Raw genomic sequence first — 27078 nt, 5'->3', positions numbered from 1 at the left:
CAATACACTTTTAAATATTGATGTATTATTCTAAAATTTGGTCTTTCTTTAAAAAATATGATCCTTCAGTCACAAAGCAATAAAAGAAATTTAGAACAAACTACTTTTCTTGTCTTCACAGTTTTATGAAACTAATGGTGAACACAAAGTTTATGTTAATGTCCGTAAAGAATTATCAAACCAGTTGATTTCTTTCATGGTTTTCTTTTATACTTAAATGATCCACAGAACAGCTTACCCATTCGAACTACAGGACAACTCTTTTTGCATTCCTGTCGACATTTCTTAGGTTTACATTTGTCATGGTTGACAATAGCAATTCTCGTTAACTTGTCTGCCATAACTGGGCGAAAGAATATCCAGCTCTTCTATGAAAGAAAAATCAACAAATTTAATGCCATTAGTTAAGGGAACTAATTTGCATACATGAAAGACAGGAAAACATAAATGATCATTATATGGAGATGAAATGATTATCTGCAAAAAAAAAATATAAATTTTGACAAATGTAAAAATTGTAAAATAATCTATAATCTAGTAAGGTTGGGAAAATCAAATTTTACATATATACTTTAATCAGAAGATTTATATAAGGAAAGAAAAAAATGTCATTTACAATAGCGACAAAAAGAAAATATCTAGGAATATACTCAACAAGATATATACACAAGAAAACTTTAAAACAACACCAAATGATATAAATGACCTGAACAAATGACATGCTATCTCAGTTTTTATAATAAAGAATAGTTAATATCACAGATTTAAACCCTTCCTGAATTTATATATTTAATTCAATCTCATGAGAAAAAACAAACAAAAGAACCCCAGACATGTGGTGGTGTGCGCCTGCGGTCCCAGCTATTCCGGAGGCTGAGGTGGGAGGATTACCTGAGCCTAGGAGGTGGAGGTTACAGTGAGCTGAGATCACACTACTGCACTCCAGCCTGGATGAGAGTCAGACCCAGTCTCAAAAAAAAAAAAAAACCCCAACCAACCCAGACAAAGCAAATCTAAAGCTCTAATGGAAAAAGAATTATTAATAGCCAGGAAAACTGAAAAAGGGGAAGCAGGATGGGGGAAATCCCACAAGCTCTTCCCCCAAACTAAGCATTACTTCACGTCGTGTACATCTGACTATAATGACACTGACAGAAATGGCAAATAATCATAATAGCAATGAAATTAAAAGGAGACCAAATAACTATATGTATATACTATGCTCACTTTTAAAGCTTTTATAAGTCTTGATATTCCAATTTAATCAACTACACAGCATTAAGATCAAAGTTAACTTAAAAATCTTTCACAATATTGGGCTTAGTGGTTCAGAAATTAATTTCCTTAGAATGGTGATTAAAGTAAAAAATTCCAAAAGGTGCCTTAATACTCAAGTTTATTCCAATATGTAATGAATGAATCTGAAACCAAGATTATCCATTTAGAAAGAGATCATGTTGTCTTTTTCTTACTGTGATAATCAATCTTGATTTTATTTTATTTTTTTTAATAGACTGCTTCCCTTTGTAGACATCTCAAGTCTTTTTCACACCCATCAATATCATTAGGCTTGGATGGGGATAAGAGATCTTGCTCCTCGACGCTGTCCTAGACTATTATCTCTCCCTCCTCCCTAAAAAGTTTTGCATCTCAACTATCTAACTGCTTTAGTTAGTAGTGACCACCAGATCACTCCCTTTCATTCTTTGAAGATTTCAGCCCCTGTTAACTTTCACACACTCTTTTACAACTCCTGACATAGTTCTCGATTTCAATATGCTCACAGATGACCCTCCTGTCCTCTCATTTAACCCCTCTCCTCAAACAGCTTGTCTTCTACCTTACCACAGCCATTCATTTTTTCTGGTTACATCCTAGACCTTATCATTACCAGTAATTGCAATCCTTCTATAACCTCAACTTCAAATACTCCATTCTCCAACCACCATTCTTATCTTTTTAGTTCACCCCCTACTACACAACAATCCAACAACTCTGATTCCTCCATTCTTCAAACCTTTCATTATCTCTTGATTCTATCATATTTCCACTGTCCCTCAGCTCTTGGTGTTTTTATTTTCCTTCTCACCCAGCTAAAATACCCTAAATCACAATCTTGGTTAAATTCGACTCTTCACCTGCACACATAGAGCTGAAAATGGTAGGTGAAAAAAAAACACAAAACCTGCTGACTAGTCTCCCTTTAAATTCATCATCTCAAATGGACCCTTATGCCAACCAGCAATGACACTGTATGTATTTCCCTGGCTAAGACCATTTGTACACTAGAAGACATTCCATAAGAATGTCCCAACAATTCTCCCTTCTGTCTTTAACTTCATCAATTATTCTCTCCACTGGCTCATTCTTATCAGCATTCAGGCATTCTATTATCTGACCCCATCGTCTCCCATTGTTTTATTTTTCCTTCTTCAAGACTACTTCAAAGAGTTGCTTATACTCAATGTCTCAAATTTCTTGCTACATGCTCTCTGGAATCCATTCTAGGCTCTAGAGCCCATCATTTAATCAAAACTTTTCGAGCCATCATTGTTCTTCACATGGCTAAAACAAATGGTTATCAGACCTTAATTCACCTGACCAATCAATTGCATCTGACACAAATAAACACTTTTCCTACTAGATAAAAACCCTTTCTTAACTTGGTTTTAGGATACAACACTAATCTGGTTTTTCTACTGTTTTCCTGGTCACTCATCTTCATCTCCCAGGCTTCTAAATGCAGAGTGCTCTAAGACTTGGTCATTTTTTTCCACATATACTCATTCCCCAAGTTGTTCTATTCTGGTCTCACAGGTTTAAATTCCATTTATATACTGCAAATTTCCAAATTTCTATCTTTAGTCAGCATACCTCTCTTGAACCCTTCCTGCCCACCTAACATCTCTGGAAGGCTTAAGAGGAATCTCCCAACTAAGCTCCTGATATCCTCACCAAAATTTCAGCAGTCTTGCCCATTTTGTTAGATGGCAACTCCAGTCTTCCATTTGCTCAGGCCCAAATCCTTGAAGTCATTTTCTTTTCCACCTAATAACAGCAAATCCCACTGAAGCTATAAAACATCCAGAATCTGATCTCATGAGTTTGGTGTAAGCTATCACTATCATCTCTTACCAGCATCACTCAAATAGCTTCCTAACAGATCTCTTTGCTTTTACCCTCACCTCTTTCTACTCTAACCCTCAACAGTTCATTCTCAACACAGGAACCATAGGAAGCCTTTTAAAGAGTAAGCTAGATCATGTCACTCCTCTATTTAAAATCCTGCAATGGCTTCATTCTCAATCTGAGTAAATGCCAAAGTCCTGAAAATAATCAATGAGGCATTGATCAGCCTCTGTTAACTTTCTGATCTCATCTCCAACTACTCTAGCTCTTGTATGGCTCCAGCTACATTGGCTCTTTGTTGTTCCTAGCACATGCCAGGCATGTTCTTGCTTCAAGATCTTGGCACTTTCTGCCTGTAATGCTATTCCCCCTAGAGAGTTACATGGCTTACTCCTTTCAATCTTTACTATTTCTCAGTGAGCCTTTTGTAACTACACTACCACAATATACACTACCGAAAAATACACCCAACTGCCTCTTCATCCTTCTTTCTTGCTTTATTTTTCTCCCTAGCTCAACTATATGACATACTATATATTCCATATATATATTTTTTTTATATATATCTGGTGTATATGCACACATCTATCGTGGGTGTGTGTATGTATATTGTCTCTCTACAAACACATACACATTTTTCCCCTCCCCAAGTAGAATGTACTCCATCCATCATGAGGGTAGGAATTTTTGTTCATTCCAGTGGCTGAACCTGTGCCTAGCACACAGGAGATCAAGCATTTCTGCTAAATGAATGAGAATATGAATTTAAATATAGTAAATAATTTTCCTGTAGGTTATAACAACTTTAGAAATCTTGCAAGTTACCAATATTTTATAGTGACAGTTGTCCACTAAACTACATACTGAAAAAAAAAATCATTCAAAAGGAGACTAAATGTTCATGTAATAAGTACAGGGTTATTCCAATAAACAGGTTGACTCTATTCCTCTAAAAACTGGTCCAGGTCTTGTAAAGATTAGAAGAGGAAGAAATTAGATGGCTTGAATTGTCACAAAAAAGCTATTATTCGGGAAATGACAACTTCCTAGGAAATGAAGATTCTTCAGCAAGCTATTAAAACTGGACACCATGCATTCTAATTTAAATACTGAATGCCTTTCTACAATTACTCAGTGAAAGAGCATAATGAATTCCCCTCCAGGGGATAAATCACCACGAAATTGCTTAAACTTTATTTCTGTTAAACTACTAAAATATTTAATTTTTCAAACTATTTTAAAAACCAAAAGACTGTAAAAGACAATTTTTTAAAAAGACACAGGGATCTTGCTATGGTGTCCTGGCTGAGGGCAGTGATCACAGGACACTACAGACTGGGACTCCTGGGCTCAAGGGATCCTCTTGCTTTAGCCTCCCGAATAGCTGGGACTATAGGTGCATGTCACTACCCTGGCTTGATTTTTACAGTAGAATAAAAACATACCAGAAGTGGTTAATAAACTGATTTATATAAAAATAGTGATAAATTGTAATGCATTTAAGAAAAATGAACATGGATTCTTTGTAGAACTGTTAATTAACTGTGTGAACACTTTTAATTCAATTTCTGTATCAGTTTCAATAATTGGGGCAAGGGGATTCCCTACTTGTTTTTCAATAGAAAACCTAGGCACAGTAAAGCTTGGAGAGGAAGATTATAGTTAACAGGCTCCTGCAAACAAAGAAGGATTTGCGGATATTTCAGATTCGAAGACAAAAGTGTTCAAAATTGACACTAGAACAATGACCCTCAGTGTCATTCTTACAGCTGAGAGGAAAAAAGGAAGTGAGGAATACTTAGAAGCATTTACAGTCTAAAGCCAAAATAATTGTAACGCTGTGTAAAAGCATTTCAAAGACTGCTGTTAACTAATGATGTTTAGTATCACATGAAATAGTCTAACCCATGCTTATTGTAGTTTATTAGTCTTACAAAACACGTAGAAGTTAGGAGTGGTACACGGCTCTGATTTCAAAGAGTTTTAAGTTTAAGACATTTAGAAGAACTCTAACTTAATATTGTTTTCTCCCCCTCTCTCCCAATTGTTAGATGCTCTTCCAACAAACAAACAAACAAAAAAACTCCCTTTTTTAAAATAGGGGAGAACTAAGTTCTCAAAAAGCTCACAAACCCCAAACAGCTTTTGGTTCAAATACAGGTTCTGAGCCTTTGGTTACACTAACAAAGTATTAGTGTCAGGTGGCTGGTATACAATGAATATTCTCAGAATATGGGACAAACTACTGCAACATAAATGCCACTATCATAAATGACTAGTTAGCAGTCCTGTTGGGAAAGAGTAAAAAAATAAAACATGTTATTTGGACAGTTCTTCCTCTTATAGATTTTTACCATCAAAAAAGAGAAAATAAGCTTATGTAGTTAATGGGAGGTGGGAATTCGGCTTTGGCTGTCATTCATTCACAATACGTATTAAATGCCTACAATGTACGAAGCCCTGAAGAGATAATAAAGGTATTCTGAGTAAAGACATCAACCTTGATCTCAATGAGTATTAGATACAATAAAAGGAAAAACGGGTAAGGGGAGAAAGTGCCTAGTGCTACAAAAGCGTACCAAAAAAACTATAGGATTTCTACTGGGAAACTACTTGGGACAACCCCAGTCATAGCTGCGTACACGCTGTTCTGAGAAAAGCAGAGTGACATGTGGGCATCATTTCTATAAAGCCTGGGAGTGGACAGCGAGTATTCGACTTCATGGCGGCAAGATGCCATGACTCATTCCACTCAACAAAACGTGGAAGCCACGACTTCCCACAACCAAATATGCACATGTGACAATATATCCATTTTGGGTGCTGGAGGAGTGTGGGGGTACTAGAGAGTGCTGTAAGTTCTAAAGGTGCCTTCCTCTCCAGCAGGTTTAGCTTCAGGGCGGGAGTGGGGTAAAGGGGGAGTGGAGACTACGGCATCTAGGTCCATTCTCGAAGTCCCTCGCGGGTGTGGCAGGCAACAGCGGCGACAGCCGGGTCGGCTGGAGGGGAAGACCGAGGCGCCCCCAAGCTCTCGGCGTCGCCCGCGCTCCATCAGTTCCAGCTGTCCCGCAGGAACCGCTGCCACGCGCTGCTGCTGTCTCCGCCACCTAAGGCCTAACCAAAGGCTCTCGGAGAACGTCCCTACATTCTTTCCAACCTGGCAGATGGCAGCTAACGGCCAAACCTCTCCGGGCTATTCACGTACCTGGAGAAAACGATCCCCTTGCGGAGGGGAGCACAGAGGCCAAATCAGCTCTTGCCTTCACTTTTCAGCCACACAGCGTGTTCTCACGGCCACCGGCCAAAATGGCGGTGCCCAGCCGCCGCACGCGCAAGCCATAGGACGTAGTGCGCGCGCGCGACATAGAGCGTGAGGCGGAACCCTGGAGGTAGGTAGGGAGATATGACGTCATTGAGCTGCGACCCTTGTTCAACGCCGTTGGCGAAGCCAGCTGCTGGAGGTGCCGAGAATCTGAGTTTCGGCAAGCAGCCAGGTCTGGAAACTGTGAGTGTGTGGGCTTTTCTCCGACGTCGAGCGTGGTCCTAGCGTAAACAGATGCATTCGCCTCTCCGGTTTCAATCTTTTTTTACGTTTGCGCTTTCCTCAAGGCCGGTGGGTCAGGAGTGGAGCCTTAGTCATTCTAACGCTGGAGGTGTCAGTAGGACCAACAGAGTCTGGTGCCGACACGGCTTACTGTTGCGCGCTCTTCTAGGCCTCAACTTCCTCTCAACTGTGTGGTCAGTTCAGGGCCGGGAATCCAATCTTTTCCGAGCTCCATATTTTATCCACTTGGTGGCGTCCAGTCCCAAGTCCGGCAGTTGAATTCTGCCCTAAAGATGGGCTTTATTTCTATCTTTTTTTAGGTAACAGGACATTCAGTTAGTAATGATGGTTGCAGGTTGAATAGTCTCGCCCTAGATCTCACCTAACTTGCAGGCAAGTGACAACTAGTTCATAACTGAACCTATTCATCTGTTTATTCATTCAGTAAATTACTTATTGAGCGTTTAAGCCTCAGGCCTTGCCAAAGTTTACAGTCCGTTGTGTCTGCCGTTATTTAGTAAGTATCAAGTGCTTGTGTGCCGATTAAAGAACAACTTCGGATACAATGGGAGGTGTCAAGGAAACGGTATGCAGAACTATTGCACCTATTTTGAATAGCATATATAACAATGTTCAGTAGCAGTAACTGCGCTACCAAAGCAGTTTTACATATTGTTCACGATCCAGTATTGAAGTGTTTTTTCACATATGAATAGACTTAGTAAAATTAACAAAAGATGTGAAAGATGAGGTCAACCTTTTTAGAATGGGCCAGTTATTCACTTCAAAATCTTGAAGCCATTTTCCTGACCTTATCTTCTATGGTAAGAGCATATGTAAGTGAACTTTTAACATTTTTTTCTTATTTTTGTGCTTTTTGGGACAGTGTCTTGCTCTGTTACGCAGGCTGGAGTGCAGTAGCACGATCTCGGCTCACTGCAACCTCCGCCTCCCAGTTCAGGTGATCCTCCTGTCTCAGCCCCCCTGGGACTACAGGTGTGTGCCGCCACACCAGGCTGATTTTTTGGAATTTTTTTAGAGACAGGGTTTCACCATATTCCAGGCTGGTCTCGAACTCCTGGGCTCAAGCAATCCACCTGCCTTGGCCTCCCAAACTGCTGGGATTACAGGTGTGAGCCACCGGGCTGGGTCTTAAATAAAACTTTTGACAGCTAGAGGGCAGGTATGACTGTTCTCTGCATCACTCAATGAATATTTAAAATGAGGATCTTAGTGGGGTGATGGGATCACACCTGTAATCCCAGCTACTTGGGAGGCTGAGGTGGGAGGATCGCTTGAAGCAAGGTGTTCAAGACCAGCCTGGGTAACATAGCTAGATCCTGTCTCTAAAAAAAAAGGAATTAAGTAAATAAAATGAGGATCAATATTTATATATTCCTAGAATAAAAGTATTTCAGTCTGACTTTTCTAGGGCTAAAAGTCATTTGAATTTTCAGGCACAGAATTATAGAACTGCATAGCATTGTAGAAGTAAAAATCATCAAGTGAACCTCTTTAACAGGAGAGGAAATAAAGCCCAGACCTACTCAAAGTCTAGGCTGATTAAAGGAGATACTGAAGCCAAAACTTTGATTCTGTGCTCTTTTGACTACTATAGCTCACTGCTTTGCATATCTGGTCATATGAAACAAAACCTGAATTCCTAAGATTTTTATTTATTTAAAAATAGAGATGGGGTCTTGCCATGTTGTCCAGGCTGGTCTTGAACTCCTGGGCTCACATGATCCTCCTGTCTCAGCCTCCCAAAGTGTTGGGATTACAGGTGTGAGCCACCATGCCCAGCCCCTAAGATTTAAATTACAGTGATTTAATTATATTAACTGCATTCTTCAGAATAAATGATTAATGTCAGGGTATATGAGTTCCATTAAATTTTTCTTGGTAAAAAACTTTTGTAGAAAGATGCCCAGTTCCTGATACAATGTGTGCATTCTTGTTTTCTACATAGAATATTTTAAAAATGACTACACCAAACAAGACACCTCCTGGTGCTGACCCCAAGCAGTTGGAAAGGACTGGAACAGTACGGGAAATTGGGTCACAAGCTGTTTGGTCACTCTCATCTTGCAAACCAGGTAAAAACTAACAAACAAAAAAGCTGTTGGAAATAGTCACTTGCAGTTTCCTTGTACAGGCATCTCCCCTTATCCCAGGGGATACATTCCAGGACTCCCAGTGGATGCCTAAAACCATGGATAGTACTGAACCCTTTCTATATTAATACTATGTTTTTTCCTATACATAAATACCTGTGATAAAGTGTAATTTATAAATTAGGCACAGTAAGAGATTAACAATAATTAATAATAAAATAGAACAATTATAACAATAGAAGTAATAAAGTAATAAAAGTTTTGTGAAAGTGGTCTCTCTCGCTCTCAAAATATTATATTGTACCCTTCCTCCTGCGATGATGTGAGAGATAAAATGTCTATGTGATGAGAGCGAGTGAGGTGAAGAATGTAGGTGTTGTGATGTAGTGTTAGGCTACTATTAACCTTCTGACAATACTTCAGAAGGAGGAGCATCTGCTTCTGGTGATTCTGGATCATCAAGCCACGATGATGTTGATGATTGGATATCAGGAGCAGATGATGTTGATGGCTAACGGTCAGGTAGTATACACAGTGTGGATATGCTGGACAAAGTGGTGGATGTGCTGGACAAAGTGGTGGATGTGCTGGACAAAGTGATGATTTATGTCTTGGGTGGGATGGAGCAGGATGGTGAGAAATTTCTTCACACTACTCAGACAGTACACAGTTTAAAACTTACCAATTGTTTGTTTCTGGAATTTCCCTTTTAATATTTTGAACCATGATTGACCAAGGGTAACTGAAACTGCGGAGATGAAACTGCAGATAAAGATACTACTGTACACTGGTCTGATTTTAATATTCCTTTTGTTTAGATGCTTTATTTTAATTCTAATGCACTGAATTTTTTTTTATCATATATCTCTGTCCAATTTCTTTACTATTCCCTAGTTAGATTTAATTACATATGTCATAAGGTCTTCTCTTTTCCTCCTCTATCTCTACTATGATTCAGTTGTTATTCATTTATTTTTTTTGGCCGTTTCTCTCAATTGGATAAATGAGTGATAACATACGCCAAAATACTTTCCTTTTACTCTTTGTTGGGATAGAATTCTTGGGTGGCAGTCCTTTTCTCTCAAAAATTTATGAATGCTCTTTCACTATCTTCTTTTGCCATGTTGTGGATATAAAGGCCTATGCCTACCTCTCTTTTTTTTTTTTCCTAAGTAACTTGTTTTTTTCTGGAAGCATCTAAGGTTTTTCTCTTTATTCTTGAGTTCATGGCATTTGCCAGATATCTTTTCTCACCCTTGTAACCCATAATTTTATAGGCAGTTTTCACCTGCAGACTCAAGCTTGGAGAAATTTCTTTAGCTTGAGGGACTTTATAATGTTATTAGTTTAGTAGTCATCTTTCTTTCAGAAACTTTTATTATTTGCACATTATGACTCCTGTATCCATCCTCTCAACCAAGCCTCTTCTGTTTCCCCTCAAGATTCCCTTCTCTGTCTTTCTATGAGCACTTTCTTGAGGTATAATTTACATACTATAAAACTTACCCTTTTTAGGTGTACAGTTCTGTGAATTTTACAGACATGTACAGTCATATAAGCAGCATTATAATCGAATATATAACATTGCCATCATCCCACAAAGTTCCCTCATGTCTCTTTATGGTCAGTCTTCTGGGCCTTTCCAAGCCCCTGACAGCTCAGTTTTGGGTCCCTTTGGTTTCGCCTTTCCCAGAATGCCGATATAAATACTGTATGTAGCTTATTGGGTCTAGTGTCTTTCATTTAGCATAATTCACTTGTGGGTTTTGCTGGGGCACATATCTGTAGTTTATTCCTTTTTATTGTTGATTACTGTTCCACAATATGGGTGTACCAGTTTGTTTATCCATTCACCAGATTAGTAGTAGCTAGCTTTCAAAATGGTCCCCAGTTATCCTTGCCTTCTGGTATTCATGCCCTTCTGTGGACCGCTTCCAAATTGTGTCAGGATTGGTTTCTGGGACCAGTAGAATAAGGCAAAACTGATGGTATATGACTTTTGAGACTAGGTTGTAAAAGACATTGTGTCCATTATTTCTTCAATTATTTCTTTTGCCCTATTGCTTCTCTATTATCTTTCTAAGAATCTGGGAATCCAATTATACATATGCTAGACCATTTGTTATTATCCCACAGCTTTTGGGTACTCTATTTTTTTTCACTTTTTTTGGAGTTGTGTTTCAATTCTGGTATTTTTCATTGGCCTGTCTTCAAATCTGCTGCATTCATCTTTGGCTTTATTGAATATACTGATAATTCTGCCTAAGAAATTTTTCATCTGTGATATTATATTTTTTATTTGTAGCTCTTCCATTTGACTCGTAGAATTTTCATCTCTATTGAAATTCCTGTCTGTTAACACATTTCATCTACCTTTCTAGGTTTTTGTTTTTTTTTTTTAACATCTTACTCATAGTTATAGTTATTTAAGATTCCTGTCTGGTAGTTCCAACAACTGGGTCATCTCTGGGTCTGTTTCTGTTTATGATAATTCTGTTTTTCTTTTTGTTTGTCTTTTTTTTTTATTGAGTGCCAAATATGTGCAGATTAGTAGATACTGAGATAAATAGTTTTTACACCTTGAAATGGGTGCCTTTTTTCTATCATTTGTCCTTTATTGTGGGATTTGCATTAGTTAGGAATTGAGCTGAGTTTGAGTTTTGTTATTGCTATGGTTACCTTCAGTGTCTCACAGGCTTCAAATTCCTCTAAAGATGCCCTGTGCTTACTGTGAGAACATTGTGCCAGAGACATTTTCTTATTTTTCTATATAATAGTTCCACTCCAGTTTTCCTGTGCTTTGGCGCACACTTGTGCTACAGAGGGTGCCTCTTGCCATGCTCTTGCCCTACCTCCAGCTGTAGAATACTGTGTTTCATTACTCAGTTCAGGGTATGAGAGGCAGGTTAGTTCTCTGTTTTCCTAGTGCAGCTACACTCTTAGGTAGGCTGTATGTGCCTGGCCTCAGCATTTTGGCCCCTGCTGTTCATGACAGCCTTGTATCTGTGGCTGGTCTTTTGTGGTAAAGAGTTTTCTGCCTCACTCTGAGAAAGGACTGTTGTTTGCCCCTCTCTCAGGTATAGAGAGTTTTTTCTTTTACTCATCTTTCAGCAAGGATGGATTGTATTTGTGTCCTGGGGTCAACAGGGTTGATTCTCCTCCTACAGTAGCTTAAGTCCTTTCCTCTATGGGAGAGAAGGGTTTGGAAGGAGGGTAGAACGTTTTGCTTTCCTTCACTGGTGGTCAGTCCCCTCCTCTGTATCTGTAGCACTGACTTAGGCTGTTTAGTCTCTTCCCCTCTCCCAGTCTTTATGTGTAAAGTGAGGGCCCTTGCAAAAGAGTCTGAGAGTCAGTGTGAATTCACCTTGTGTTTTGGGCTCTCAGTGTTGCTGTACTATTATGCTAGCCTGCATTTGGTCTTTGTCAAATTATTAAAGTTATACTTGGTTTCTTCTTATGTATTTATTTGGTCTTGTTCCTTCCTCCTATGCTCTACTACAGTTGGGACAATCTGTAATCTTTTTTTCTCCTGGGAATGGGGGCTGCCCCATTCCTGGATTTCAGGCTGTCTGGTAGGAGTTTGTAGTTTATCCAGCTTTTTCTGTTGTTTGGATGGAGGTGATTTTTTTTAATTTAAATTTTAAGTTTAAGTTCTGGGGTACATGTGTAGGATGTGCAGGTTTGTGACATAGGTAAATGTGTCCCATGGTGATTTGCTGCACCTATCAACTTATCACATAAGTATTAAGCCCAGCATGCATTAGCTATTTTTCCTAATGCTCTCCCTCCCCCTACCCCATCCTGACAGGCCCTAGTGTGTGATGTTCCCCTCCCTGTGTCCATTTGTTGTCATTGTTTAGCTCCTATTTATAAGCGAGAACATGTGGTGTTTGGTTTTCTGTTCCTGTGTTAGTTTGCTGAGGATGATGGCTTCCAGCTCCTGAAAGGGAGAGGCAGGGTAGTTCTCTGTTTTCCTAGTGCAGCAGCAGTCTTAGGTAGGCTGCATGTGCCTGGCCTCAGCATTTTGGCCCCTCCTATTCAAGATAGCCTTGTATCTGTGGCTGGTCTTTTGTGGTCTTTTGTCCAAGTCCCTGCAAAGGACATTATCTCATTCCTTTTTATGGCTGGATAGTACTCCACGTGTTTACAGTGTTGGTGGAAATGTAAATTAGTTCAACCATTGTGGAAGACAGTGTGGCGAGTCCTCAAAGATGTAGAACCAGAAATACCATTTGACTCAGCAATCCCATCACTGGGTATATACCCAAAAGAATATAAATTATTATTTTACAAAGATACATGCACATGTATGTTCATTGCAGCACTATTCATAATAGCAAAGATGTGGAATCAACCCAAACGCCCATCAGTGATAGATTGAATAAAGAAAATGTACATATACACTATGGAATACTGTAGCGGTGATTTCCCCCTCCCCCCGTTTTTTAAAAGCTTTTTCAGCTTTCTTTTGGGTTCTTTGGAATTCCTTAATATCCATTATTGTATCAAATATTCCTGTAAATATGATTAAATTGAACATCTTTCACTGTTTGATCTATTAGTATGACTAGACTGGTGCCATATTGTGTCAGTAATGAGATACAAATCAGTGCTAGTTGAACTCCTTTGGTAAAGTTTACCTTCCTTGGTAAACTAGCACTGAATCGTACCTCATTACTATCACAATATTGCACCAGTCACTGGTTTGAAGAGAGCAACACATGTCACCAGTTTCCTGAAAATGCCCCACTGCTCTGACATCTTGGAGGTGCAGAAGAGATCAATAGTTACTGCTACTAGAGGAGTGGCAGGATCACTTAAAAATGTGTTGAGTATGAAATTCATGAAGTTCAGTAGTGCAATGTCATATGTCTTACTTCATGTGATTTTGAGCTTTGAGTCTATCAGTGAAATATCATTATATGATTAGCATTTTACATATTAAGAATGACTACTCTTTATAAACAGGAAACTGCATGAGAAAGTGATTGCTCGATCTTTGCTTCTCTAGGGTCAGATATTTTTCAGTTTAAGTCAGCAGATAGTTGCTGAGATTTGTAACTCAAACTTGTTAGAGATTGAAAGACAAAAAAGACACAATCTTTACTGTCAAGGACTTCACAATTTAGTGGAGGAAGTATAGCTTTAAACTATTACTACATAATGTAATAATTAATAACTTTTATTTAGTGCTTACTAAGTGATAGATGCTGTTCTAAGAACTTTACATGCATAAAATAACCAGTTATCTCAGTAAGGTTTTCAAAAGTTATATATGAAGTTGTACTATTTCTTTTACCATTTTCCAAATGAGGAAACTAGTACAGAAAGATTAAGTAATTTGACAAAGATCACATGATAAGCAGGAAATTCTGGAATTCAAGACAGACTCCATTACACAATAGTGCTTTCCACTAAATATGGGCTCAGTGTAGAACTAGCCCAAAGAAGAAAGTGATTTACTTTGCTTGAAACGATCATGGAAGTCTTCATGGAGATGATGCTTATTCTGTATGATGAAGCAAGAATAAGATTTCACTAAGGACATAAAAGCAAGGGAAATGGGACAGTTAGCCTTCCATATCTGTAGGTTCTAATTTCATGGATTCAACTAACTGAGGGTTGAAAATAGTTGGAAAAAACCCACAAAAAATAACAATACAACAACAAAAATAACACAAATAGAAAAACAACACTGTACAACTTTTTACATATTTACATTATATTAGGTATTATAAGTAATCTAGAGATGATTTGAAGTATACAAGAGGAGCCATTTTAAATAAGGGACTTGTGCATCAGTGGATTTCGTTAACCACAGAGGTCCTGGTACCAATCCTCGTTGGATGCCAAGAAATGATAATATGTGCAGAGGTATACAACTTAAACAAAACATGGCTTAGTCAATTAATTTCATGTAGTAAATGAGACTAGAAATAGGGAAATGGCGTATGTGAAGCTGTATAGTTAGGTAGAAGCCTGATTATAGAAGACTTTATTAAACAATTCATACTTTACTGTATAGATAATATGAGCAGTTGAAAAGGTAAGTAACAGAGTAAAACAATCAGTGTTTGTTCATATTTGAGAAGTGTGGAGGATGGATTGAAGTGAGGCAAGATTAGAAATAAAAAGGAAATCAGGAGACGCGATAAATCAGATAGGAAGTGATATAAAGGAGAATTTTAAGAAATTTTCAAAATGTTAATGTCAGTCTTTGGGAGATACAGATTTACTTGCCTGCTACAGGATGGTAGGTGGCACATGGCTTTGCAAAAATCTTTTTGTATCTTTGAAATAATGGTTCAATATTTCATTCAGATTAAAGTTGGAATGTGTTTAGTAGATTCAGCTTAGTTGAACACACACCACAAAACAATCTTACAATTCAGCACAATTGTTAGTCTCTACCTAAGAGACTGGAAAAACAAAAGAACAAATTTGTGTTATGACTGCTACCGTATAATAGGGTCTTTTAAAATAATTTAATCATTTCATAAGCACCAAATTAATCCAATGTTGAAAAACAAATTTAGGGGAAAAATAAGTACATCTGCTGTGCTTAACTCTATATTTGATACAAAGAAGGGATTCAGTATGGCTGTATTTTGTGAACATCTTACAGGGCTTATATGCTATTTGTTCCCTGTTTTTTTTTGAAGACATTGAGTTAATTCTTAGAAGGTTAATGGGATGTTGTAAATTCTGTTTTTCTTAAAATAAAAATCACTAAATTTTTATTGAAGTTCATGCTATAACTGACAATTATGGCCTTTGAGTTAAAGGATTTCTGAGTTGAATAGTGATATTTGCTTTGCAGAAAATAAGACAGCAATATAATAGAAAGTAACTTTAAGTGGGAGGCTACATTAGTTTGTGGGATTATGGAAGGCCTCTTTTATAAGTGAAATTTGCACAGAGACATGAATGTTAAGAAGAATTCATTGTGCAAAGATTTCAGAGAAGAACTTTCTTGACACCAGGAAGTTAGTTCAAAGGCTCTAAGTTAGTTGATTTGGCATTTTAGAGGTTCAGAAAGAAGGCTATAGGGGCTGGAGAGCAGTGAGTAAGGAGGAGAAATGGTAGAGTGGATTGGAAATGTAATTAGACATGGTGGGACAGATTATATGAACTCTTGTAGGCCCTGAAAAAGAGTATTGATTTTAAGTACAAAGGGAAACCACTGGAGGTGTTAAGCAGGAGAGGAAGATGATCTGATACAGAATTTTTAAAAGATGACTGTGTCCACTGTGGATAATGGTTGATAGTGGCATAATGGTGAACACCAATGGAGGAAATGATGTTATAGTAATTTATGTTAGAGATGATGTTGATTTGGACTAGGATTAAGAACTGTTGATATGGAAAGGAATGATGGCTTTGGGATATATTTTTAGAGGTGGAATAATTACGATTCACAGGAGGAAACCTTCAGAGTGACCTTTCTGGCAGAACAACTCATACTGTTTCCTGAGTTGAGAAAGAAGGAGGGAGTGGAGGGAGTAAATAGATTTTGGGTCAAAAAATAAATAATTTAATTTATATATGTTAATTTTGCAATGCCTATTTTTCTAGTTGAAATGTTTAGTAAGCAATTGACTGTAGAGGCTGGGAGCTCTGCTTGAAGTTCTGGGTTGGAGATACAAATTTGAAGGTCATCAGTGTGCCAATGATATTCTAAGGGAACTGGACTAACTCATCTAGGGAGAGAATTTAGAGAAAAGAATAAAGCTTTGGGACACTTGAAGATGAAGAGATCTGGCAGAATAGTGGAAGAGGTGTCAACAAAGGATACTAAGAAGTGGCTAGTGAACTAGGAGGAAAACCAAGAGAGTGAGAAATCATGGATAGAAGTCAAGAGGAAACAAGTGTTTCAGGAAGTTAGTTAATTCTTCATTTCTCTTTTATTTTTATTCTTTGAGGTGGAGTCTCGCTCTGTTGCCCAAGCTGGAGTGCAGTGGTGCGATCTCAGCTCACTGCAACCTCCACCTCCCGGGTTCAAGTGATTCTCCTGCCTTAGCCTCCCAGGTAGCTAAGATTATAGGTGCGCACCACCACACTCAGCTAATTTTTTTTATTTTTAGTTTAGACAGGGTTTCACCATGTTGGCCAGGCTGATCTCAAACTCTTGACCTCAAGTGATCCGCCCACCTCAGCCTCCCAAAATGCTGGGATTATAGGCATGAGTCATTGCGCCTGGCCTCATCTCTTTATTGTTGTACTAATACTTCATATTATAATCTATTTGCTTAAATCTATCAGTGCTGTCCATTAGAACTTAGTGCACCATGCAGTGAGGTAACTACTAGCTACATGAAACTATTGAACATTTGAAATGTTACTACTGTTACTGAGGAACTAAATTTTTAATTTTACTTCGTTTAAATGTATATAGCCACAGTGTAGGTCTAGTGCATGATATGGATGAACTTCTCTACAGAGACCATTTGTATCTATCTTTAGGTCTTCATAGTTAAGACATTTGCCTCAGTTAAAATAGCCCCCTAGCAGAGCCTAAGGAGGTTGAGGCTGCAGTGAGCTGTGATCGTACCACTGTACTCCAGCCAGGGCAACAGAATGAGACCCTGTCTCAAAAAAAAAGAAAAAAACAGCCCCTTAGCAAATGTGAAAGTAGTTGTGTTAATAGATATGCTTGAAAGGAAAATGACTGTTTTATTCATAAAGGCAGTCTAAGCTGGGCTGCTCAAATATGTCTCTAGTGGTGTTGTGTTAGTGCTCTTGCTCCACTAATGCTGCTTAACGAACAACCCTAGTCTCTCAGTGGCATGATCAGCCAAATTTACTTTGTGCTTTGGTGATGGCTCGGCTTTAGGCTGTGAGTCAGGTTCAAGTCTGCTCCATTTGTCCAGGCATATTCTCTTAGTGGAGTGCAGAGCATTCAGAAGACCAAGCCAGACTTTGCAAGCACATTTACCGCCTCTGCTTGTGTCACAGTGTATTGACTGAAGTAAGTCATGATTTAGCCCCGTTATTGACTGGAGTGCAGAATCGTATCCCTCCCATGGAGAGTGGGGAGAGAAGCATGAATATTTACCAAACAATAACAATAACCATAGATGAATACTGATTTTCTTTTCTTTAGGGCAGTTGCTCTCACCAGGGGATGCTTTTACCCTCCAGGGTACAAAGTCTGGAGATATTTTTGATTGTTGTGATTACTGGGGACATGAGGGTGGGGGGAGTTGGGGAGTTGGGGGAGTGTTTCTATTGGCATCTAGTGGGTAGAGCCCAGGGATACAGCTAAATACCTTTCAATGCACTGGACATCCCCTGTACTGAACAAAGAATTATTCAGTCCAAAATATCAGTACTGCCATGATTGAGAAACCTTGCCTTAGAGGAGTAATTCTAACATTTTAGCATGCATCAGAATCACCTAGAGGATTTATCACAACATAAACTCTCAAAAGGGCTGAGCTCTCAAAGTTTCTGATACATGTCTAGAATTCCTAACAAGTTCCCAGGTGGTAATGATGCTGCTGGTTCAGGAACGACACTGTACGAACCACTGCATTAGAGAACCAGTACATCATATAATAACTGCATTGGAGAACCAGTACCTCTTATAAAAGTTTTTTTCTGTGTAATATTGTTATTTGTGTGGATTTTCTGGATACCTGTTAAAGCAGTTATCATAGATACGTCTTTGTTTTAGTTCTTTTGTTTAAATTAAAACAATTCAGGGCCGGACACGGTGGCTCATGCCAGTAATCTAAGCACTTTGGGAGACTGAGGCCAGTGGATCACTTGAGGTCAGGAGTTTGAGACCAATCTGGCCGACATGGTGAAACCCTATCTCCACTAAAAATACAAAAATTAGCTGGGCGTGTTGGCAGGCGCCTGTAATCCCAGCTACTCTGGGGGAGGCTGAGGCAAGTCTTCACTCTTACGTCCTTCATATTTTAGACTTTTATTTTTTGAAGCTCTGCCCCCTGCAAAGGTGAGCTTCAGCCACCTGCAACAGTCACTTCTGGGAATTGCTTGAACCCAGGAGGTGGAGGTTGCAGTGAGCTGAAATCGCGCCACTGCACTGCAGCCTGGGCGGCAAAGTGAGACTCCATCTTAAAAAAAAAAAAAAAGAAAAAAAATTCAAATACAATACTGAGTGGGAAGCTTTGGAAAAGAGGTTGAGACGGGATTGGCACATAAGGAGATGTTTGTAAGAGGTTCCGTTTGTAAGGCATATTGAAGAAGCAAAAGTTGGTAATCATACTTAGTATTTCAGACATAAAGATTTAGACTAATCAGTACTTGAAGATATTAGACCTGCTTAGTTGTACTATGATACTTTCTAAGCAATAAATTAGAGACAAATTTTAAATGATCAGTTTTGAATTATAGGACATTTCTTATTCTGAATAAATTATTCAGATTTGTGTTTAATTTTTTTTTTGCATTTTAAGAACAAATACTATTTTGTTCTTTGAACCTCTTTGAGCACATACATAATAAAGTTGTGAAATGGAGGAGAAAAAAAACCTAGCTGAGGTAGCCAAAATAAAATAACTGAAAAAAAAAACCTTTTAATCAATAGAACATTAAACTGTGGAGCTTTTACGGAAGAATCGTGATTTAGTTATCCTTTACTAGGGAACTCAAAAACTAGTACTAAAAAGAAAAAGAGAGTTAAGACCTATAACTCTTTATATTGGAGGTAAAACAGTTATTTTTATTTTTATTTTTATTTTTTTGTCCGTTTCTCGCACTGTTGCCCAGGCTAGAGTGCAGTGGTACAGTCATGGCTTACTACAGCCTCGAACTCCAGGACTCAAGTGATCCCCCTGCCTCAGCCACATGAGTGCCATCACGCCTGGCTAAGTTTTTTTATTTTTTGTATAGACAGTGTCTCACTATGTTGCACAGGCTGGTAAAACAGCTTTTTATCTTGTAACTTGCATTACCTAATATTCTGGATTAGCTTTAGCAATATTGTGTAAAGAACGAAGCATGATTTGAAGCATGACTGTCCAATAGAATATGTGACGTGAAATATATATACAAGTTTCATGGGGAATTTTATAGTAGCTACGTTTAAAAGGGCTAAAAATAGGTGAAATTAATTGTAATAATATTTTTAAATCTAGTATAACTGGACTACTATTACTAATGACATATTTTACATTTTGTCCTAATCTTCAAACCAGTGTGTATTTTAACACTTACAGCACATCTCAATTTGGACTTGCTATATTTCAAGTAGCCACATGTGGCTAGTGGCTACCGTATTGGACAGTGCAGATTTAAGAGTTACGGAAGAAGTAATAGCCCAATTTTTACATTTTATCGACATATATGGCCCAGGACAGCTTTGAATGCAGACCAAATTAGTAAACTTTTTTGAAACATTATGAATTTTTTTTTTTTTAGCTCATCAACTATTGTTAATGTTAGTGTATTTTATGTGTGGCCCAAGACAGTTCTTCTTCCAGTGTGGCCCAGGGAAGCCAAAAGATTAGACACCCCTGGTCTGTGTGATCTGGCTCCTTTGATATGTCTGGCTTATTTCCTGCTTCACACCAATGTATTGCCTTAGCTCTCAAAGGACCCACTGTTGTTTTCCATGTATGCCATTTTTCTTGATTCATGACATTATATGCTTATCTCTTTGCTGAATGCCCCTGAATCTTACCATTCTACCTCTTTATCTAGCTAACTAGTAATTTGAAATTCAATGCAAAACTCATTTTCTCTGGATAAACTTCTTTTATCCACTAGTATGCACAATAAAGGCAGCAGATGCAAATTTAAGATACAAATCCATTCATGTTTGGATTACGTGGAACAGACATAGTGTTAATATCCATAATAGTGACTGAATGTGGTGGCACATGCCTGTGGTTCCAGCTACCTAGATGACTGAGGTGGGAGGATTGCATAAACCCAGCAGGTCATGGCTGCAGTGAGCTTTGATGGTGCTACTGCATTCCAGCCTGTGTGTCAGAGCAAGACCCTGTCTCAAAAAGAAAAAAAAAAAAGATCTGTAATAGTAAAAGTGTTATGAATAATCAAAAGACCTAAGTTTATTGAAAATATAGGAGGATATGAATAAGCATGAAAATATAAATATTAATAAATGTGAAATACAATTTTTTTAATCTATCAGGTGAGTAAATATTTAAAAGATTAACTGCATTTTTGCCTGGGTGCAGAGCAGTGCTATCCAACAGAAATGTAACACAAACCACATTTGTAATTTAAAATTATCTAGCAACAACGTTAAAAAAATTTTATAAAAGTGCAATTATTCTATTTTTCTCAGTATGTTCAAAATATCCCTTCAACATATAATCAATATAAAAACATTAGATATATATTTAAAGTTTTTGTCATACAAAGTCATCAAAATCTGGTATATTAATTTCAGAACATACCAACTTTTACTAGCCATTGAGAGGGAATAGGTATTCTTTTACATTTTTGGTGAGGAAATGTTTTAGAGGACAATTTGGCAATATTTATCAAATTAAAGATTCAAATGACCCAGGATTCTATTCCTAGAAATCTATTCTCTAGAAATAACATATATTTAAAGATTGTAGACAGCTAGGTGTTTATTGCAGTATTGTTTGTAATAGCAAAACATTGGAAACAACCTAAATGTTCTGCAGAGGTGTGGTGAGATAATTATGATATTTCCAGACAGTGGTAGAATATACAACCTTAAAAAATATGGAAGCTGTTTATGTTGTTATATGAGCTAATAAATATTAGATTATTTAACATATATAAAATGTTTAGAATGCGCCTGGCACATAGTTAATGTGATATCAGTGTTTGTTATTGTTATTATTGTTGTTAATTTATTGATATGGAATAAATATTCGTATGGTAAAAAACTCCAGATATGTTAAGTAAAATTAAAAAACACCAACATGCAGAGCTATTTACTGTATGCTATCATTTGTTTAAAGAAAAGGGAATAGAAAGAATACATATATGACTGCTTGTATATGCATATAGTATCTGTGAAAGGGCATGCAATAAACTGAAAACATTAACTATATTTGGAGAGAAGAATGAGATGGTAGATAGTGACTTTTCACTGTGTCTTGTTCCTTTTGGATTTGTTCCATAATGAATATATTACTTAGTGTAAAACTGAAATGTAAGTTAAACTTATTTCTCTTATTAAAAAGTCTGCATTTTACCATTAAATCAGATTCATTTCTAAAATTAGTATGAATTATTGTGGTTTTAATCAGGAAAAAACACAGGATTGTACAACTTCATTTATGTAGAATGGATGGAGAACATGGGATTCTGGGTAAATTTAATTTTGATTAATCAGAATTTTAATCAGAAGCATTTGGCTTCAGAATATATATGCCTTTTGAAAATATTTTAAGTCATCTTTTTTCTTGTCTCAGTAAGCATGGCATATTGAACTTATTAGAATGTGTTTATTTTTGAGGATTTTGTGCTTAGTCATTTTTACTATCAGCTTGCAAAAAGCACAAGAAACTGAGTTTAAATACATACGTTCTTTAAAATGTATCCGGCTGGGCGTGGTGGCTCACGCCTGTAATCCCAGCACTTTGGGAAGCTGAGGCGGCTGGATCACTTGAAGTTGGGAGTTCGAGACCGGCCTGACCCACATGGAGAAACGCCTTCTCTACTAAAAATATGAAATTAGTCTGGCGTGGTGGCGTGTGCCTGTAATCCCAGCTACTTGGGAGGCTGAGGCAGGAGAATCGCTTGAATCCGGGAGGCGGAGGTTGCAATGAGCCGAGATTGTGCCATTGCACTCCAGCTTGGGCCACGAGAGTGAAACTCTGTCTCAAAAAAATATAATATCTCCTAGAAGATGTTTTTTAAAAAGGTGACAACAAAATAACTTGATCCTAATATAGGGTTTGTATGTGCAAGTGATATTTCTCTAATAAGAGTTGAGCTCTGAATAAAAGGGTAGAAGAATTCTGGTTAATTTAAGTTTCACAGCTGGGTGCTATGGCTTATGCCTGTAATCACTGCACTTTGGGAGGCCAAGGCAGGAGGATCACTTGAGGCTGGGAGTTCGAGGCCAGCCTGGGCAACACAGCAAGACCCTGTCTACAAAAAATAAATAAAAAAAAATTAATATTTCTGACCTTTCTGTTTATCAAAATTTCTGGACAAATACATATGTTAATTTTATGTTTTGCATGTATAGTTGTTTCTTTTTCACAGGGATTTATTGACACTTTTGGTGTTTTTAGGATTTGGAGTGGATCAGTTACGAGATGACAATCTAGAAACTTATTGGCAATCAGATGGTTCCCAGCCTCATTTAGTGAACATCCAATTCAGGTAATTAATACATTTTCAAATTTTTCATCTACTGTAGGTTATAGACAAATAAATCTATTTTATTAACATAAAAATTAAAGATAGAAATTACAATGAAATACACTTAACTTTTTAAACTCTGAAGTCTTATAGATTATTTTTCAGTTCAGTTAGATTATTAGCATTTTAAAGTTACTCTGTCTTATTTTTTATGAATTTTCTTATGGTATGTTGCATAGTTCCTTTTATGTAGATGTTTCTCAAATATACTTTTCAATATAATTTATTTTTTGCGGGTACTTTCAGAAAGATATATTTTGCTTATGGCCCAATACAATACCTTAATGTATCATATTAAGTAAACCTGGAGTGATCGTAAGTTTTTTAGCTGTGGAATATTCATATAACTTCTCAAATTTTTACTTTTATTTGGAAAATTTTTTTTTTTTTTTTTACTTAGAACCTTTAAGGACATTTTCCTTTTTGATAATGCTTTTTGAGGGGAAAGGAAAAACAGCCACATGTTTTTCAATGCTTTGAATGTATTTATTATCAGATTTTTAAAATTTTAAATAAGAGACAGTTGGCCGCTATGTTGGCCAAGCTGGTCTCGAACTCCTGGCCTCAAGCATTCCTCCCACCTCAGCCTCCCAAAATGCTGGGGTTCCAGGCATGAACCACTGGGCCTGGCTGAATTTATTGACATAGTTGGAAACCAGTTAACTCAGCTATCTTGTTCCATTTATACCATCTTTTTTTTTTTTTTTTTTTTTGAGATGGAGTTTTGCTCTTGTTGCCCGGGCTGGAGTGCAGTGGCGTGATCTCGGGTTACTGCAACCTCCGCCTCCCAGGTTCAAGCGATTCTCCTGCCTCAGCCTTCCGAGTAACTGGGATTACAGGCATGCGCCACCACGCCCGGCTAATTTTGTATTTTTAGTAGAGATGGGGTTTCTCCATGTTGGTCAGGCTGGTCTGGAACTCCTGACCTTGTGATTCAACCCGCCTCGGCCTCCCAAAGTGCTGGGATTACAGGCGTGAGCCACTGTACCTGGCCTATACCATCTATTTTAACATTCTATAGCATTGTATTTTTAGTTGTTTGCTTTTATTGTCCTAGAGTACAAATCAGCAAATTTCCAACAAGCCAGATAGTGAATATTTTAGACTTTGTGGGCCATCTCATCTGTTTTGCAGCTACAGTGCTCAGTTCCACTGTTATGGCACAAAGGTGGCCCTACACAGTGCATAAATGACAGAATTTAGCTGTTCTAATTAAATTTTATCTTACAAAAGCAGATGTTAGGCAGGATTTATTTATTTTCCTTCTGACTTTTATTTTAGTTTAAGGGAGTACATGTGCAGGTTTGTTATATGGGTAAGTTGCCTTTCGCTGGGTTTTGGTGTACAAATTTCGTCATCCAGGTAGTAAGTATAGTACCTAATAGGTAGTTTTTGGGTCCTCACCTTCTTCCTTTCCTTCACCTCAAGTAGGCACCCATGTCTATTGTTCCCTATTTTGTATCTGTGTGTATTCAATGTGTGTTTTTTTTTTTTTTTTTTTTTTTTTGAGACAGAGTCTCTCTCTGTTGCCCAGGCTGGAGCGCAGTGGCGTGATCTCTGTTCACTGCAACCTCTACCTCCCAGGTTCAAGTGATTCTCCTGCCTCAGGATCCCGAGTAGCTGGGATTACAGGTGCCTGCCACCACGCCCAGCTAATTTTTATATTTTTAGTAGAGACAAGGTTTCACCATGTTGGCCAGGCTGGTCTCAAACTCCTGACCTCAGGTGATCTAGCCGCCTCGGCCTCCCAAAGTGCTGGGATTATACGTGTGAGCCACTACACCTAGCCATGTATTCAGTGTTTAGTTCCCACTTATAAGTGAGAACATGCAATATTTGGTTTTCTGTTTCTGTGTTCTCTTAGGATGCCGGCCTCCAGCTGCATCCATGCTGCTGCAAAGGACATGATTTCATTCTTTTTTATGATTGTGTGGTGTTCCATGGTGTATGTTTACAATATTTTCTTTATCCAGTCCACTGTTGATGGGCATCTAGGTTGATTCCTTGTCTTTGCTATTGTGCGTAGTGCTGCAATCAACATATGTGTGCATTTGTCTTATGGTGAAATGATTTAAATCCCTTTGGATATATACCCAGTAATGGGATTGCTTGGTCAAATAGTAGTTATGTTTTAAATTCTTTGAGAAATCTCCAAACTGCTTTCCACAGTGGCTGAACTAATTTACATTACCACCAGCAGTGTATAAGTATTCCCTTTTTTTCACAACTTCACCAGCATCTGTTATTTTTTTTTGACTTTTTAGTAATAAACATTCCAACTTGTGTGTGAAATGGTATCTCATTGTGGTTTTGATTTGTATTTCTCCAGTGATTAGTGAGGTTGACCATCTTTTCATATGCTTGTTGGCTGTATGTCTACTTTTGAGGAATGTCCGTTCATGTCCTTTGCCCATTTTTTAATAGAGTTGCTTTTTTCTTGTAAATTTAAGTTCCTTATAGTTTCTGGATATTAGACCTTTGTCAGATGCATAGTTTGCAAATATTTTTTCCCATCCTGTAGGTTGTCTGTTTACTCCGTTAATAGTTTCTTTTGCTGTGCTGAAGCTCTTTGGTTTAATTAGGTCCCACTTGTCAATTTACATTTTTGTTTTAATTGCTTTTGGAGTTTTTGTCATGAAGTCTTTATTAGGTCCTATGTTCTAGGTATTTCTAGGTATTTCCTAGGTTTTCTACCTGGGTTTTTATAGTTGTAGGTTTTACATTTAGGTCTTTTATAAATCTTGAGTTGATTTTTGTATATGGTGAAAGGGAGGGGTCTGATTTCAATCTTCTGCGTATGGCTAGCCAGTTATCCCTGTACAATTTATTGAATAGGGAGTTCCTTCCCCTTTGCTTGTTATTGCCAACTTTGTTGAAGATCAGATGGTTGTAGATGTGCAGCTTTATTTCTGGGTTCTCTAACCTGTTCCATTGGTCTCTGTGTCTGTTTTTGTACCAGTACCATGCTCTTTTGGCTACTGTTGTTTTGAAGTTTAGTTTGAAGTTGGGGGTAATGTGATGCCTCCAGCTTTGTTCTTTTTGCTTAGTATTGCTTTGGCTATTGAGGCTCTTTTTTGGTTCCATATGAATATTAGAATAGTTCTCTAATTCTGTGAAAACTGTCAGTAGTTTGATTGGAATAGCATTGAATCTATAAATTGCTTTGGGCAGTTATGACCATTTTTTTTTAAACAATATTGATTCTTCCTATCCATGAGCATGGGATGTTTTTCCATTTGTTTGTGTCATGTCTGATTTTCTTCAGCAGTGTTTTGTAATTCTTGTAGAGATCTTTTGCCTCCTTGGTTAGCTGTATTCCCAGGTGTTTTATTTTTTTTTTTGTGGCTGTTTTGAGTGGAATTGTGTTCTTGATTTGGCACTTAGCTTGTATGTTATTGGTATATAGAAATGCTATTGATTTTTGTATATTGATTTTGTATCCTGAAACTTTGCTGAAGTTGTTCATCAGATCTAGGAGTCTTTGGGCAGAGACTATGGGGTTTTCTAGGTGTAGAATTATATTGTCTGCAAACAAAGATAGTTTGACTTCCTCTCTTCCTATTTGAATGCCTTTTATTTTTTCTCTTGCCTGATTGCTGTGGCTAGGACCTCTAGAACTATGTTGAATAGAAGTGGTGAGAGTGGGCATCTTTGTCTTGTTCTGGTTCTTAAGTGGAATGCTTCCTTCCAGTTTTTGCTCGGTATGATGTTGTCTGTGGGTTTGTCATAGATGGCCCTTATTATTTTGAATTATGATCCTTCAATGCCTAGTTTGTTGAGGATTTTTAACATGATGATTGTTGAATTTTATTGAAAGCCTTTTCTGCATCTCTTGAGATGATGATGTGGTTTTTGTTTTTAGTTCTGTTTATGTGATGAATGACATTTATTGATTTGCATATGTGGAGCCTATCTTACATCCGAGGAATAAAGCCTGCTTGATTG

At 37.7% G+C, this 27078-nt stretch overlaps 2 protein-coding genes across 23 annotated transcripts in view, besides 7 other annotated features; one reads left to right on the top strand and one right to left on the bottom strand.

Annotated features, from left to right (window-relative positions):
* Window positions 1–6443, bottom strand: part of ABCE1 (ATP binding cassette subfamily E member 1) — a 31214-nt gene extending 24771 nt beyond the window's left edge. The window contains exons 1-2 of one of the 2 annotated variants that reach the window (NM_002940.3): window positions 6335–6443; window positions 239–368 (exon numbers count right to left, since the gene is read on the bottom strand). In NM_002940.3, coding sequence (NP_002931.2) covers window positions 239–341 — 103 coding nt within the window. In that variant the 5' untranslated portion in view covers window positions 342–368; window positions 6335–6443. The remainder of the gene's footprint in view (window positions 1–238; window positions 369–6334) is intronic. The other variant, NM_001040876.2, reaches the window with a different exon arrangement.
* Window positions 5560–6431: an enhancer, noted in NCBI's record as "NANOG-H3K27ac-H3K4me1 hESC enhancer chr4:146019475-146020346 (GRCh37/hg19 assembly coordinates)". NCBI's record gives its function as "activates a minimal SCP1, AML or CMV promoter by ChIP-STARR-seq in naive H9 embryonic stem cells {active_cell/tissue: H9 hESC(naive)}" and the evidence as "EXISTENCE:reporter gene assay evidence [ECO:0000049][PMID:30033119]".
* Window positions 5560–7303: a biological region, named in NCBI's record as "MED14-independent group 3 enhancer GRCh37_chr4:146018722-146019921".
* Window positions 5985–7184: an enhancer, noted in NCBI's record as "MED14-independent group 3 enhancer chr4:146018722-146019921 (GRCh37/hg19 assembly coordinates)". NCBI's record gives its function as "activates an origin of replication core promoter dependent on BRD2, BRD4, P300/CBP and CDK7 cofactors, and independent of MED14, by STARR-seq in HCT116 cells {active_cell/tissue: HCT116}" and the evidence as "EXISTENCE:reporter gene assay evidence [ECO:0000049][PMID:35650434]".
* Window positions 6132–6211: an enhancer, noted in NCBI's record as "active region_21961". NCBI's record gives its function as "activates an Ori minimal core promoter by ATAC-STARR-seq in GM12878 lymphoblastoid cells {active_cell/tissue: GM12878}" and the evidence as "EXISTENCE:reporter gene assay evidence [ECO:0000049][PMID:35858748]".
* The window catches only part of ANAPC10 (anaphase promoting complex subunit 10), a 103997-nt gene continuing 83101 nt past the window's right edge, over window positions 6183–27078 (top strand). For 5 of the 21 annotated variants that reach the window (XM_011531531.4, NM_001256706.2, NM_001256710.2 and 2 more), the window contains exons 1-3: window positions 6558–6634; window positions 8643–8769; window positions 23004–23094. In XM_011531531.4, coding sequence (XP_011529833.2) covers window positions 8655–8769; window positions 23004–23094 — 206 coding nt within the window. In that variant the 5' untranslated portion in view covers window positions 6558–6634; window positions 8643–8654. The other 16 variants (XM_047449507.1, XM_047449502.1, XM_017007641.2 and 13 more) reach the window with 10 other exon arrangements.
* Window positions 6432–7303: an enhancer, noted in NCBI's record as "NANOG-H3K27ac-H3K4me1 hESC enhancer chr4:146018603-146019474 (GRCh37/hg19 assembly coordinates)". NCBI's record gives its function as "activates a minimal SCP1, AML or CMV promoter by ChIP-STARR-seq in naive and primed H9 embryonic stem cells {active_cell/tissue: H9 hESC(naive and primed)}" and the evidence as "EXISTENCE:reporter gene assay evidence [ECO:0000049][PMID:30033119]".
* Window positions 6462–6721: an enhancer, noted in NCBI's record as "active region_21960". NCBI's record gives its function as "activates an Ori minimal core promoter by ATAC-STARR-seq in GM12878 lymphoblastoid cells {active_cell/tissue: GM12878}" and the evidence as "EXISTENCE:reporter gene assay evidence [ECO:0000049][PMID:35858748]".
* Window positions 6802–6851: an enhancer, noted in NCBI's record as "active region_21959". NCBI's record gives its function as "activates an Ori minimal core promoter by ATAC-STARR-seq in GM12878 lymphoblastoid cells {active_cell/tissue: GM12878}" and the evidence as "EXISTENCE:reporter gene assay evidence [ECO:0000049][PMID:35858748]".

The sequence above is a fragment of the Homo sapiens genome, chromosome 4, assembly GCF_000001405.40.
Source record: "Homo sapiens chromosome 4, GRCh38.p14 Primary Assembly".
In the NCBI taxonomy this organism is placed as follows: Eukaryota; Metazoa; Chordata; class Mammalia; order Primates; family Hominidae; genus Homo; species Homo sapiens.
The sequence above is the reverse complement of the archived record's forward strand: the minus strand, read 5'-3'. Positions and strand labels throughout refer to the sequence as shown.